Source organism: Homo sapiens, chromosome 2 (genome assembly GCF_000001405.40).
Source record: "Homo sapiens chromosome 2, GRCh38.p14 Primary Assembly".
Taxonomy (NCBI): Eukaryota; Metazoa; Chordata; class Mammalia; order Primates; family Hominidae; genus Homo; species Homo sapiens.
In genome coordinates, this window is record NC_000002.12 from 226,802,044 (window position 1) to 226,815,822 (window position 13,779).

Here is a 13,779-nt window from a genome sequence, read left to right on the forward strand (position 1 = left end):
AAATAAAGGTACTGTACCTCTATGGGGGAAAAATACTCTTTTCTGGAAGGAGGGGAGGGTTGGAAAATTTATTTGCACGTACCTCACAATTATCTTCATAGGAAGGATTTTGATCATAAAAAGCTAATTATGATAATAAACCTTTTAAAAAATATATCTCTCAGTGTTAAAGCATTTCTGCTTTAAAAAACACAATTTCAGTTGCTAAATATTCGATAAAAATTATGAAATAAGCCTCACTGCTGTGACAAATTATGTTCAGACCAATGGGTTTCCTATGGAAGATAATCACTGATCATAGGATATTAGTGCCATTTTTTCTACTTGCTGATGTTTTACTACCAATTTAAAGGTGGTTAATATTTGTTATAATTATACTACAGTAAATTCAATTGTTCTCTACAATTGTTTTATTAATGGGCTAACTGGAAATTCATTTACATTTGGTTCATGTAATATATAGAATAGAAAGAGACGCGTTTGTGGGAACTCACTGAAGTAATGCTGAGCAGGTATGGGTATTATTCTGTCACCTAAGCTAAATTAGTCTTTTGGTGTATTGTAATGAAATACACTGTATGAAAAATTTACTCCCCACTGAAAATTCACGGAACAGAAGAACAAGCTATTACCAAAATCTGTTGCTCAATGCTGCCATCTATAGGAGAGTTAGAGCCGATTTGTGTAATATGCTAAGGTTCATTTTAAAAGAGGGCTAAAATAGTGATTTCATCACAACATTGCAACAGCTACGTTGATGTCACTAATACAGTCCTAATTCAAGGAGTTAAGGGTTTACATGCTATGGACGCACTTTGGGGCAATAGGTCTACAACTAGCTTTAAAATTGAGTTATTGGTTTATGTATGATACTATCAGGAAAATAATGCAAAATTTATAGATTATTACATATATCTGTAAAGTGCTTGAGTTGGGTGGATGTAAAACTAAACATTTCAAAATTATAAAACACTTTTTGTATCAAAACATATGTTTTCCTTAAGATGTATGGGTCATAACTGGAGGAGCTATTTAAATACTGGCGTCTCTTAGAATTAATTTTGGCAATTTAGAACAGTGCTTGAAGGACAATTGAATGTGGATTTTCTCACTTTAAGATCTGTTTTTATTTTAAGATGGCTCAATAGTAATAAGCATTTGAATGCTTACTCTGCAAGGCAATATGAAATAGATAAAAAGACAGCTTCTTACAGCTTTGATGGGGTAATAAGAGAGTACAAAATAACAATAGTTGATGACTAAAATGTGTGTGTGTGTGTGTGTGTGTGTGAGAGAGAGAGAGAGAGATGTCAAATAACAAGTGGTATTTACTTTCATGATGGATGAAATAACTACTTAATTTTTACAGAAGAGAGGAGCCTTAAGCTTGAACTTGAAATGGGCTATAACTCAGATAAATGGCAATTATTTTTTCCCACTCAAGTTTTTTGGAACACCTACTTGTGTTAGGCACTAGGCTGGACACTGAGGATTTAGATATCAAAGACATGCTGCCCACAGGAAACTTACATCGAAAATGGCAGATGAACACAATTGCAGAGCACTATGATCTCTTTTGTGGAAAAAATAGGCACAGGGCAAATGAGATCACATAACAACCAACTGCCTTCTGACATAAACATTATCAGTTACAGACAGTGCAATTTGGGAATCTGAAAGGTGCCTCTTCCCTTAAAAACTTTGTTTTCTCATGTAATTAAAATCTTTCATCTGTTTTATTTAAAAATATATAAAATAGGCCAATTAAAAGAGAGCTGAAAAGTCACACTTGGCTTGTAAATCGGCTAGATCAGGGCTTCTCAAACCCGAGGATCTTGTTATAATGCAGGTTCTGGTTAAATGCAGAAGGTCAAGGGCAGTCTGAGGCAGTGCATTTTTAACATACTCTAGGTGATGCTGATTCTGCTGGGTAAGTAGCATAGTTCTAATGACTGATGATTAATTGAAAGACAATAATTTGGTGCTGTGACATGCAAGCAAGGCACTTATACTTTAGTATTATATACATATACAGAGAGAACAACAGCAAGAAAAATTCTACTTAACTGAGGCTTCATTGTATTTGGGCTTCTCTCTTTTCAATCACAGGCATCAAATCTTTCTGGTAAGCATGAAGAGTTATTATCAAACAGTTGTGTTAGTGTTTTCCAAGGTGTGATTGAAAATGGAGATTTCTTACCTCATCCCAGTCCTGCTAAACCAAAATCTCTTAGGGAAGGATGGGCCCCCCAGCATTCACAGTTTAAGCAGCATTACAGGAGATTATTATTTACATCAAAATTTAAGAATCATTGGCTTAAACACAAAGAAAAAAATGTAATTTTATTCTTCCAGAATTGGCAAATGCACAGCCTTAACCAGTCAACAAAGATCTTCACCTGTGGGCTGTTTACTACAGCTGGGTGGAGCAGGCAATGACCCAAACCTGCATGAGTCTCCCAATATGAATTGATTTTCCTTTGAAGAATATCAATTACTGGCAATCAGCTAGTGAGAATCCAGTTCTGCTCTCATCTTGATTTCATCCCTCATCTCTTCTAGAGAACTGAGGGAAAATAAATGCACCAAGAACTAACATGGGATTTTGGAAAGACAGTAATGCCCTCAACAGATGATTTCAAAACATTTGCTGTTTGAGGAGCAAATAAAGCATGAAATAAACAGGTGGATGAGGTTGGAAGAAAGGAGGGAGGTGAAAACTCCATGCCACTGTTTAATTCTTTCACTTCAGAAATTCTACTGATTGATTGGTGATTTGGGGAGTGGTGAAGAGAATCCATAACTGATATTTGTCTAAAAAACTTGGTCCTGGTCCAGGCATAGTAGCTTATGCTTGTAATCTCCGCAATTTGGGAGGCAGAAGCAGAAAGATCCTTGAGCCCAGGAGTTCAAGTTTGCAGTGAGCTATGATCATGCCACCGCACTATAGCCTGGGTGACAGAGTGAGACTTTGTCTCTAAAAATAAATAAAAAGACAACTAGCTTTTTCTTTTTTAATTTTCTTGATTTCCTTAACTATTATATTCTCATTTTCTTGTTTGATAAGAATCAGGGGTCTGCCAGTCAATTTGTTATCTTAGACAATGCCACTAATGTTTTTGGTCATTTAATCCAGAGAAAGAACCCCCAGCTGTTTTGTTTGTTTGTTTGTTTGTTTTGTTTTGTTTTGAGGCAGAGTCTTATTCTCACCCAGGCTGGAGTGCAGTGGCGCCGTCTCGGCTCACTGCAACCTCCACCTCCCAGGTTGAAGCAATTCTTCTGCCTCAGTCTCCTGAGTAGCTGGGATTACAGGCATGCCCTACCACGCCCAGGTAATTTTTGTATTTTTAGTAGATACGGAGTTTCACCATGTTGGCCAGGCTAGTCTTGAACCCCTGACCTCAGGTAATCCACCCGCCTTGGCCTCCCAAAGTGCTGGGATTATAGGCGTGTGCCACCACACCCAACCACTGTTTCTCATATTTGAAGAGCCAAGTGTTATATCTAGATAAGCATATGCTTAGAAAGATTTGCAGACTTTACAACACCTTTTGCTGGTTTTGCCCCCTTCTTTATCTTAAATTTGTCTTTTTGGTGCAGTGCACTCTAAACTTTCTAAATTTAAATTTATATTTAAAATCTAAAATTTGATAGCCCAAAAATGTCTTCACAGTAATCCCTCAACTTCATTTGTTTATTTTTTAATGTGAATTTCAGTAATGATGAATGTCCCATGCCCTCTATTCAGTGGGCAGGATCTAGAGGTAGAGCTAGTTGGTTTTACTGTTGGTCATATTAACAAAGAATTGCTAGGTCACCATGTCCCTCTCATTCTTCTCACATCCCCTCCTCAATTGCAAGGCAAATCATCATAACTTTTTCTCAGTAATGATGGATATTCCGTGCTCTCTATTCACTTGGCAGGGTCTGGTGGTAGAACTAGTTGATTTCACTAACAAAGAATTGCTGGGTCACCATGGCCCCCTCATTCTTCCCATATCCTCTCCTCAACTGCAAGGTTAACGAACATCTCTCTCTCTCTCTTTCTTCTTCTTCTTTTTACTGGGTCTCATCACTCCAAGGTTCTTTATTTTAAGAAAGAAAAAAAAAACTGACTAGAAGATTAAGGACATTAGTTTTCTGTGGATTGGGAAGATACAAGTTAATTTGAACTTAAGAAATTTGTAATTGCATCACTACCTGTGGTGTTGTCCGGTGTGACTCTACAAGTGGGCAGAGGGTTACCCATATCAGAATCACCTGTGGAATTGTTCAAATCAAAGCTTCCTGTGTCCCACCTCTGATCCTTCTAAATCAGATCCTCTGTAGGTCAATGTGTAGTTCCCCCATTTCCCATTCCCACCTCCATGAGTTTTATGTATGCTAAGATTTGAAAGCCACTGATCGGCCTATCTCTAAAATCCTAGATTACAAATGAAGACATTAGGAAATATATGCAATATTAACCTCCAGCAACTGTCACAAGTTTGGTCAATAGTTTTTCTGAAATATTTTACTGCAGTGACTTTAAAACTTTTGACCATGACCTGCAGTAAAAATACATTTATAAACACATTGAACATCAGTGCGCACACACACACTCAGACTCACTTACAACGAAATACAACTTACCCTTACTACCTGCAATGCACTCAGATCTTTTTACTCTTTCTTATCTCTCTTTCTCTCAATCTCACACTTTCTCTTTTTCTTTTAATGCTTTCTAAGACCCACTAAATTAATTTCCTAGCACACTAAGGTGTCATGACCTACAGTCTGAAAACACCAACTTTCTATATGAATATTTCTGAATTCAAAAACAGAACAGAACAATGATCATCTCTAGATCCTTGGATGCACCACCAATTGAACTCCTAAGGAGGAAATTCACAATGCTTCCAATGGATTCGAGTTTACCTAAGATTATTTTTGGTACTAACCAAGAATGATTTTTTCACTGCTTTTTTTTCTTAAGTGGTTGGGCACCAGTCTGTCCCTACTAAGCAATGAAATCTGATGCACTTACAGTTTTCATACAGTGGAAATCTGAAGACAGGCAAAAGGCAAATTAAGAACACTGAATGTGATTCAGTTACTATTTTAAAAAATAGACATTTATCATCACTTCCCAATATTATTTCATTGTGATAATTGAGCTAATGTTGTTTGCTATATAAAGTATTGGAGGAAAATAAGTTAGAGATTATAAATGTATTTAAAATATATTCTTGTAAATTTGTATTTTATTTTTGCATCAGTTTTGGATTGGGGTTAAAGGAGAAAATAGTGGTTTTCTTTTATAAAGAAGAAAAATTTTAAAAACTGCTTACCAGGAATTTAAATTATTAGTTTTATTAATAACATTAGTTTCATAAAAACTAGATAAAATGTTGCTATTTTGTATTTCTTAATTTACCAAACATAAATGTCTTTGATTCCTAGGAAATTAAAATTTTAAGGGCTAATTCCCCTTCATTCAAGAAATATTTACTGTGATGAAGACATGTTCCATGCAGAGGAAATGGCCAATGCAAAGAGCCCCTGACTGGAGGGCATTTGGCACATTCTAGGAGAGTGAGGAGGTAAGTGCAGTGGGAGCAGAGTGAGGAAGGGGAGAATAGGAAGAAGCACGCTTAGTGAAATAACAGTGGACACAATCATAAGGGATCATGTAAGCCTTTGTAAGGACTTTGGTTTTCGCTCTGGGAGGGGAAACCACTGGATGGTATATAATACAGCAGTGACGTAATCTGACATATTTTAAAGACACTCTGGGCTGGGCGCTGTGACTCAGGCCTGTAATCCCAGCACTTTGGGAGGCCGAGGCGGGCATGGTGGCAGGCACCTGTAGTCCCAGCTACTCCAGGGGGCTGAGTAAGTAGAAGCACATGAACCAGGCAGGTAGAAATTGCAGTGAGCCGACGTCACGCCACTGCACTCTAGCCTGGGTAACAGAGCGAGACTCTGTCTCAAAAAAAAAAAGAGACACTCTGGAAGCTCTGTTGGAATAGACTGTTGGGGGGAGGACAGGGGTAGTGGCAGAAGCAGACCTCATAAAAGGCTACTGCAGAAATATGATCAAGAGATGATGGTCATTCGTAAAGATGGTGAGAAGTAGTAAAGTTCTGAATATATTTTGAGGGCAGCATCAGCAGAATTTGCAGGTGGTATGGATGTGACATGGAAGAAAAAGAATGTAGGATGACTCCAAGGTTTTTTTTACTTGTACAACTGAAAAGATAAAATCACCATCAACTGAGACAATGTATCAGTTTTCTATGGCTGGGTTAAGAAACTACTCTAAAGGAATAATTATGAAACATCAACTCTTTTATTATGCTCTAGGATTCTATGGGCCAGGAATTCAGACAGGGCACAGTGTTGATGGCTTGTCTGTGTCCTGGCTGGGATGGCTCAAATGGTTGTGGGACTATTTGACTTGAAAGGCTGGAGCCTGGAATCATTTGAAACATTGTTCACTCATGTGTCTGGCACCTGCGTTAGAATGACTGAAGGCTACATCAACTAGAGTACTTACATCCGGTCTCTCCATGTGACTTGGACTTTTCACAGCGTGGAGGCTGGATTTCAAAGGTGAGTGTCTGAAGAGAGACCATCTCGAGAGTTAACATGCCAAGAGGGAGCTTCTAGAGAGGAGGTGTTCCAAGAGAATCAGACAGAAATTGTGTAGCCTTTTATGACCTTACCTCAGAAGTCAGAGCTTCATTTCTACTGTATGTATCCTATTGATCAAAGTAGACATGAGCCCACCCAGATAAAAGGGCAGGGAACCTAGACCACAGTTCTTGATGGAAGTAGTGTCAAAAAAAAAAAAACTTGTAGTCATTGTTTTAAACTACCACAGATTGAAATACTGTGGCTGAACAGGAATGGGGAAGATGGGGGAAGATCAGGAGTTTGGTTCTAGACATGCTGAGTTTCAGGTGCTTATTGATCCTCCGAGTGGAGATATCAAGTAGGCATTTGTGTATATAAACCAGAGTTGAAAAGATGAGTCTGGGCTTAGGTATAAATGTAAAGGTTGTCAGCCTATGAGTAGGATTTAAAGCCCATGATACTGGATAAAATCATCAAGAAAGAGAAAGTAGATAGACAAAAGAAGAGGACAAAGATGCCAGCAAGGGAGACAGAAGAACAACCAGTAAAGTTGCTCTCTTTTAGGCAGGAAGACACCATATCAGGAAAAAGAGAGTGAACAACTGAGTCAATTGCTGCTGATGGTCAAGTCAGAAGAAGACTTGGAATTAACATAAGATCTAGCATCATGTTTGTGTTATGTATAAGATATTAACATTGATTGCAGATGCCCACAATGTTTATGATCTGACTGAATTCTTTAGTGGAATCACAAAAGTTCAACATACTCAGATGTGTACAGTAGGTTAGTAGAGTTTGTAGGGATAATTATGGCAACATATTTTATATTTCCTAAATAACTTTAACTTGAAAAATTCCTATGAGGACAGAGATACTAAAGTACAGTGGATGCTATGTTTAGTCTCACTATGCAATTTAGTCTTGTCTCTAAGATTAGACTTCTAAACATTCTTAAGATTTTGAGAAAGAGAGGGAGAGAGAGAGACACTCATATTAATAGGAAAAATTGCCAAGATATGTCCTAATTTTTAAACCAAATATTTTAAAATATTTTAGACAAAAGTTTATATCTAGGAATCTACTTCTAGATTTATTAGTCTTTACTGATTTAAAACTTTACAAAATAACAAATAATAGCTTTCACCTTTTTAAAAACTATTTTAAAAGACTAATGTAAGGTAATTTACTGCAAAAGACAAATATCAATACCAACACCTAGTTTTAAGTTGGAAAATGTGAAATAAAATCTTATGTAAAATACATCAATACCCAACAATATAATAATAATGTAACATAAAATTACCATGTCATTGGTGGGACACACAATTTACTAAAGTGTAAAAACCATAACATAACTCTTGGAATCTCTATAGAACTACAAAATATAGTTGATGCTTGAACAATGCAGGCATTAGGAGTGGCAACTCCACAAAGTTGAAAATCTGCATATAACTTTAGACTCTCCAAAAACTTAACTTCTAATAGCCTACCATTGACCAGAAACTTTACTGATAATGCAGTAGATTATCACATATTTTGTATCTGCATTATATACTGTATTTTTAAAATAAAATAATCTAGAGAAAAGTGAGTATTGACGGGGCATGGTGGCTCATGCCTGTAATCCTAGCATTTTGGAAGGCTGAGGTGGGTGGAACACCTAAGGTCAGGAATTCGAGATCAGCCTGGCCAACATGACAAAATCCCGTCTCTACTAAAAATATAAAAATTAGCTGGGTGTGGTGTCAGGCACCTATAATCTCAGCTACTTGTGAGGCTGAGGCAGGAGAATCGCTTGAACCCAGGGAGGTGGAAGTTTCAGTGAGCCGAGATCACACCACTTCACTCCAGCCTGAGCAAAAGAGCAAGACTCCGTCTCAAAAAAAAAAAAAAAAAAAAAAAAAGTGAATGTTAAGAGAATCATAAGGAAAAGAAAATATATTTACTACTCATTAAGTGAAAGTGGAGCATCCTAAAGATCTTCATCCTCATCATTTCCAGATTGAGTAGGCTAAGGAGGGGGAAGAAGAAGAGGGCTTGGTCTTGCTGTCTCAGTGGAGGCAGAGGCATAAGAAAAACGTGGATAAATGGATCCATGCAGTTCAAACCCCTGTTGTTCAAGGGCCAGCTGTATGCTTAAACACATCCCTGGGGGTTGTAAAACTAATGTTACTGTTGTTTTCATTTTGCAATTTTTCCATCTTGATATAAAAGCAAAAGTAAAGCTAATCTATGTACAATTTATTATAGGTCAACTGAGAATGGCAGAGGACTCATCCCACCTTTGCCACATGGTGACTTGCCCCACTCCCCCAGGTGACCTTGCTCGTGCATGTGGATATTTGCTCAGATTAAGAATGTTTCCCACAAAATTGCTTACTCTCTTTCATTCTGTCCGTGGTTGCTTGTGGTTTATTTGTTGATAACTGAGACTATTTAAAGATTGCCAAAACAAAAGCCATTTCTTTTCTCCCCGAATAGCCTCATTTTTTCTATTCCCTTTTTCCCCTCCTATTAACATTTCTGGGGACTCTAAAGCAGAGCTCAAGATGGTTCAGGACCACGGAGAGCGCAAGGAAGGGGAACTACCAAAGCACTTTAGTCATGCAGGTGGGGAAAGAGATGATCCTAAAATTGTTTTTATTTTTCTGTTTTTTTGAGAGGGAGTCTCGCTCTGTCACCCAGGCTGGAGTGCAGTAGCACGATCTTGGCTCACTTCAACCTCCGCGTCCCGGGTCCAAGCGATTCTAGCGCCTCAGCCTCCTGAGTAGCTGGGATTACAGGTGTGCACCACCATGCCCAGCTAATTTTTTGTATTTTTAGTAGAGACTGGGTTTTGCCATGTTGGCCAGGCTGGTCTCCAATTCCTGACCTCCAGTGATCCACCCCCCTCAGTCTCCCAAAGTGCTGGGATTACAGGCGTGAGCCACCACGCCCAGCCAATAGTGGAATTGTTGCCGGACAATATTTATTTAAAAGACATTATTGTAAAGAGTAACAGTGTAATTCTGGCTCCTTGAAATTTGAGGGGAATGATTTTTCTGGACATTCGACCAGTGCTTTCTAAATTTCTCCACTGAATTCTATCTAATGACAGATGAGAGGACACTGAAAGTAGGAGTAGCCATAAGTCACCAGTGCAAAATGTCTTTTGAAGTTTGCATTTATTGATTGCTACCATTTATGTAAAGTTTTACAGTTTTGACAGTCATAGGGTTCACCAATCCACCATAGAAGAGAATTAAGTCATGCGGACACAGCAGGGTTTAGAATGGATGAGTAGAGGAGTGTGTGCAGGCTCCAGTCCCCAAAGTCTCTAGGACTGTCCTAGAACCTGCAGCTCATCTGTCAATTCTGTCAACTACTCAGGATCCTCTCAAGAATTATCCCCCCATACCCACCTTTTAAATTTCCTCAAGCTAGTTTCATTTGAGTTTTGTCACTTGCAACTGAATGAGCCCTGCTAATGCAGATAGATTCAATTGAGAAGGGGAATTCTAGGCTAGGAGTACAAGGTTACAGGCAAGGAGACAGGAACATAGCTTGGGATTTCCTGGGGCAGTGAGAAAACTGACTTTAAAAAAATGGAATGGTTTCTAAAATGTTTGTACAACTTCTCTGTATGGCAATGGGGTAGGAGTATAAATTCTTTCAGCTTCTTCTGAGGGCAGCTGAACAAGAAGTATAAAAATTTTGAATGCTGATAACATTTGACCTAGCAATTCCATCTCTAGAAATAAATTCTACAGTAGTAATCTTAAAAACGTATTCACTGAAATGTTATTTTCTCATAGAAAATGTCGAAACAACATATGTGTCCATCAATAGAGAACTTGCTAAATGATTTATACTACCTTTACATATTGAAATACGCATAGCCGTGGAAGATAATTTAGTAGATCTATATGTCCCATTATGGAACAATCCCCATGGTGGGGGGAAAAGTAAGGTGCAGAACTGTATCATAGATGTTCTCTCTCTCTCTCTTTTTTTTTGGAAAGCACATGTATGCTTTTATATACACAGAAAAATTCTAGAATGGCAAACAAGATATCTTTGCAATAGTTTTTTTCTGGGAGGGGACTCATTTAAAAAAATTCTCCCATATTGCTTGTTTTGTTTTGTTAAAGACATCCATGTATTCCTACTTGGGTTAAGCCATGATAACTAAATATGATTAAAGTTCAGAACAATAAAAACCTTAGAGATGTATACATAAATATCACTTGCTTAGGAATTTCTAGGTAGGTACTATTTTAAGCCCTCTACATATATTATTTCATTCAATCCTTGGAGCAACTCTAGGAGGGAGGTGTTATCCTCTAATTGCAGATGAGGTTGATGAAGCTTAAAGAGTAATGATGCCTTGAGTCCATCCTCTGGCTCCAAAGCCCTTGTATTTAACTGTTCTCCCTTTTGCATCCCTGTGCTAAAGTGACTTTGCTATAATATCCACAAGGAAGAATTTCTGTGTAAAAATTAGACTTCCTTGCAGGCAGTCTATCAGTGATATCCAATAAAGACTCAATAATGGCTAACAATACAAACCACACACACAAGAAAAACTTCTCCTTTTGTGCCAGGTACTTAGATTAGGTGTAGTGGTTTTCTTAAACTGATTATCAAGGTAAACACCACCTCATACATTTCAGCAGAGAGCAGTGGTTTCTCTCTCCAGCAGTGGGAGCCATTGAATCAGGACAATGCCACACAGTTGGGCTTTCATGTTAGATAGATCACTCTTGTGGTTTTGGGGGATGGCATTATAAGAGAGGAGACTGGAGACAGGGGGGCTATTGTCATGCAGATTTGTTGGATGTCCACCCAGCATTCACTTTTTCCATCTTTTGCCAGGGGTACACTACACAACATCACCAGTCATTTCATAGAATGGCAATTAGATTAGGCTTAGGTCTGCACTGCCTTCCTTCACTCCGCTCTGTCACTTGCCATCATTGTAAATGCTGACAACTTAGTGCCTTTCATGCTTCAAGTATCAATAAGATAGGAATAGTAATAGTATCACATTGAATTATTGTGGAGTTTTGAACAGATGATACTTGTGTTATCAGTGCTCAATAAATATTAGCTGTCCTCTTCCTTATTGTTGTTGTCCTCAACTATGTATTTTAAATGGGATTAGTCACACAACTCCTCATGTCCCCCACCCATTAATACCTGACTCCTTTGCAAAACAAAGCATAGCATATGGTGGTGGGGATTACAAAATCGTTACAGAAATTTCATATGTAAAAAAGGGGCAAGAGTTGGCCAGTTTGACACTTCCTTAACCTATTTTATTTTTCTTAAATATTACAGTATCACCAGATATACTTTCTATTTATTTCTTCTCTGAGAGTATGCAATTTGTCTGATGTGTTGCCTGCTGTTTTTGGGTGAGTGATAAATATGAGTTCTATATAGGGGGTGAAGAAAGCATTCCATGAGTGGGACTGTATGAACAATGGAGAAAAGTCATGAAGGAAAGATGGCATTCCATGTGGACTCGAGTAAAGTGAACATGATATCTTGTCTATAAGGGGGATCATACATTTAAAGCATTCAGCAACCTGTAACCAACACAACAGTCTTTCCAAGAAGAAGAGAGTATGAGCTTTTAGAGGGGAAGAAAAGTATCCTCTTCCCTTGAGAAGCATTCAGAGCATCTAGTATCACACTTGGGATATAGCAGGCATTTGGTACTCAATTAAAGAATAGAATGTGATTAAATAACTTTGAGGGCCCACATGGATGACTTTGAATACGGATCAAAAGTTTGGACTTAGCTTGTCAGTAATGAGGAGCCTTTGGTATGATCAACAGGAGAAGTAACATAGCACATCTGAGATATAGAGTAAAATGGAAACCTTGAGCAAAGGTAGGCTAGTTAGGAGTCTGTTTCAATAGACCAAAGGAGATGGAGAGCATGAGGGGCTCAGTTAGTCTTGTGGTGGTGGAAATAAAGAGGAAAAAGCAGGTGCAGAAAACATTCAGAGGAGGAAACAATGGGCTGTTGAAACAAATTGGATATTTGGGACAATAGCAAGAGAAAAGTCAAAGATAACTGGGATTTTAATCCTGAGCAACGGGTAGGCTAGTGAGACATCTAATCACTCTCCCCGTCTCCTTCCCTGAAAGTTAATTACTCACAGAAAAAGCATTAGCCAGAAGTCAGCATGTTTACATCAGTTCCTTAACCCTGCAAGTCCACATTGGTGATGCAGGTGGCCAAGACAGGTGCTGCACACACTGGATTACAGCATGGAAGAGGAGCCCAGGGTCATGGAGGCACCCAGCAAGTGGCAAAATATGGGCACCTTGACCTACTGGGTTGCCTATGTGACCAGCTACAGAAGCTGCTCAGTATCAGGAGCTGGAGCTGCCTGCAATCTGGCCACTCAGCAAGAATTTTCAGAGACTGTTTCTATTCCATAGTGGATGCTCCATCCAACACCATTCTTTTAAAGTGCGCACATCTGATCACTTTCCAAGTATAAATGGCCTGAATTTATTTTCCTTTCTTTACCAAAATCCAACCTAAGTAATTTTTTTCTTTCCATACTCCTTATTCATGAACTCTAATTGTTGGTAACTTTGAGAGCATTGGTCATCTTAATTTCTTACCACTAATGACATGACAAGTTAATTTCTGCAATAAGAACAGCTAAAATTATTTTTATATCTTCTAACATAATATTTTGTCATGAATGCTTTCCTAGAATCTTCCTTCTGGAATCCTACTTTTTATGTAGTTTGGAGATTCTCTTTTCTAAAATAAAGATTAGCATGTAAGATAATAAAGTTATTATATATTTCATCCAAACTGTAAAAATACATTGAATATTTTACTTCTTAATTCCTCTAGGTAATATAAAAGTATTTTAGACAGTTTTATATTGTATTAATTGAAGCATATCAAAGTTGATTGATTTCTAAAGACTGTGAACTCAACCCACATAAGAGGAGGCAAAAGTAAAGATTAGAACTTGCCATTTCTATTCCAGTCCATTAATTCTAGCTTAAGCTATTTCTGATAAGTGTGTACTCTGGAGAAAAAAAAAATGTTATTTGAAGAGTGGCCACTATATTTGTTTCTGGCAAAACTAAAGTTTTAAAATTCCAGTTCCTCAACAAATGGAAGATGGAATTTTCCAGTTCTTC

The 13,779-nt window shown here is 37.9% G+C and overlaps 1 protein-coding gene across 2 annotated transcripts in view, besides 1 other annotated feature; it reads left to right on the forward strand.

Moving 5' to 3' along the window:
* The window catches only part of RHBDD1 (rhomboid domain containing 1), a 199,052-nt gene that overhangs the window by 1,885 nt on the left and 183,388 nt on the right, over nt 1-13,779 (forward strand). The window contains exons 2-3 of one of the 2 annotated variants that reach the window (NM_001349069.2): nt 5,443-5,582; nt 6,346-6,594. The gene's annotated coding sequence lies outside the window, so the exon portion shown is untranslated. Of the gene's footprint in view, nt 1-395; nt 5,583-6,345; nt 6,595-13,779 lie in introns of those variants that run through there. The other variant, XM_047445998.1, reaches the window with a different exon arrangement.
* Nucleotides 11,115-11,686: an enhancer, noted in NCBI's record as "OCT4-NANOG hESC enhancer chr2:227677874-227678445 (GRCh37/hg19 assembly coordinates)". NCBI's record gives its function as "activates a minimal SCP1, AML or CMV promoter by ChIP-STARR-seq in primed H9 embryonic stem cells {active_cell/tissue: H9 hESC(primed)}" and the evidence as "EXISTENCE:reporter gene assay evidence [ECO:0000049][PMID:30033119]".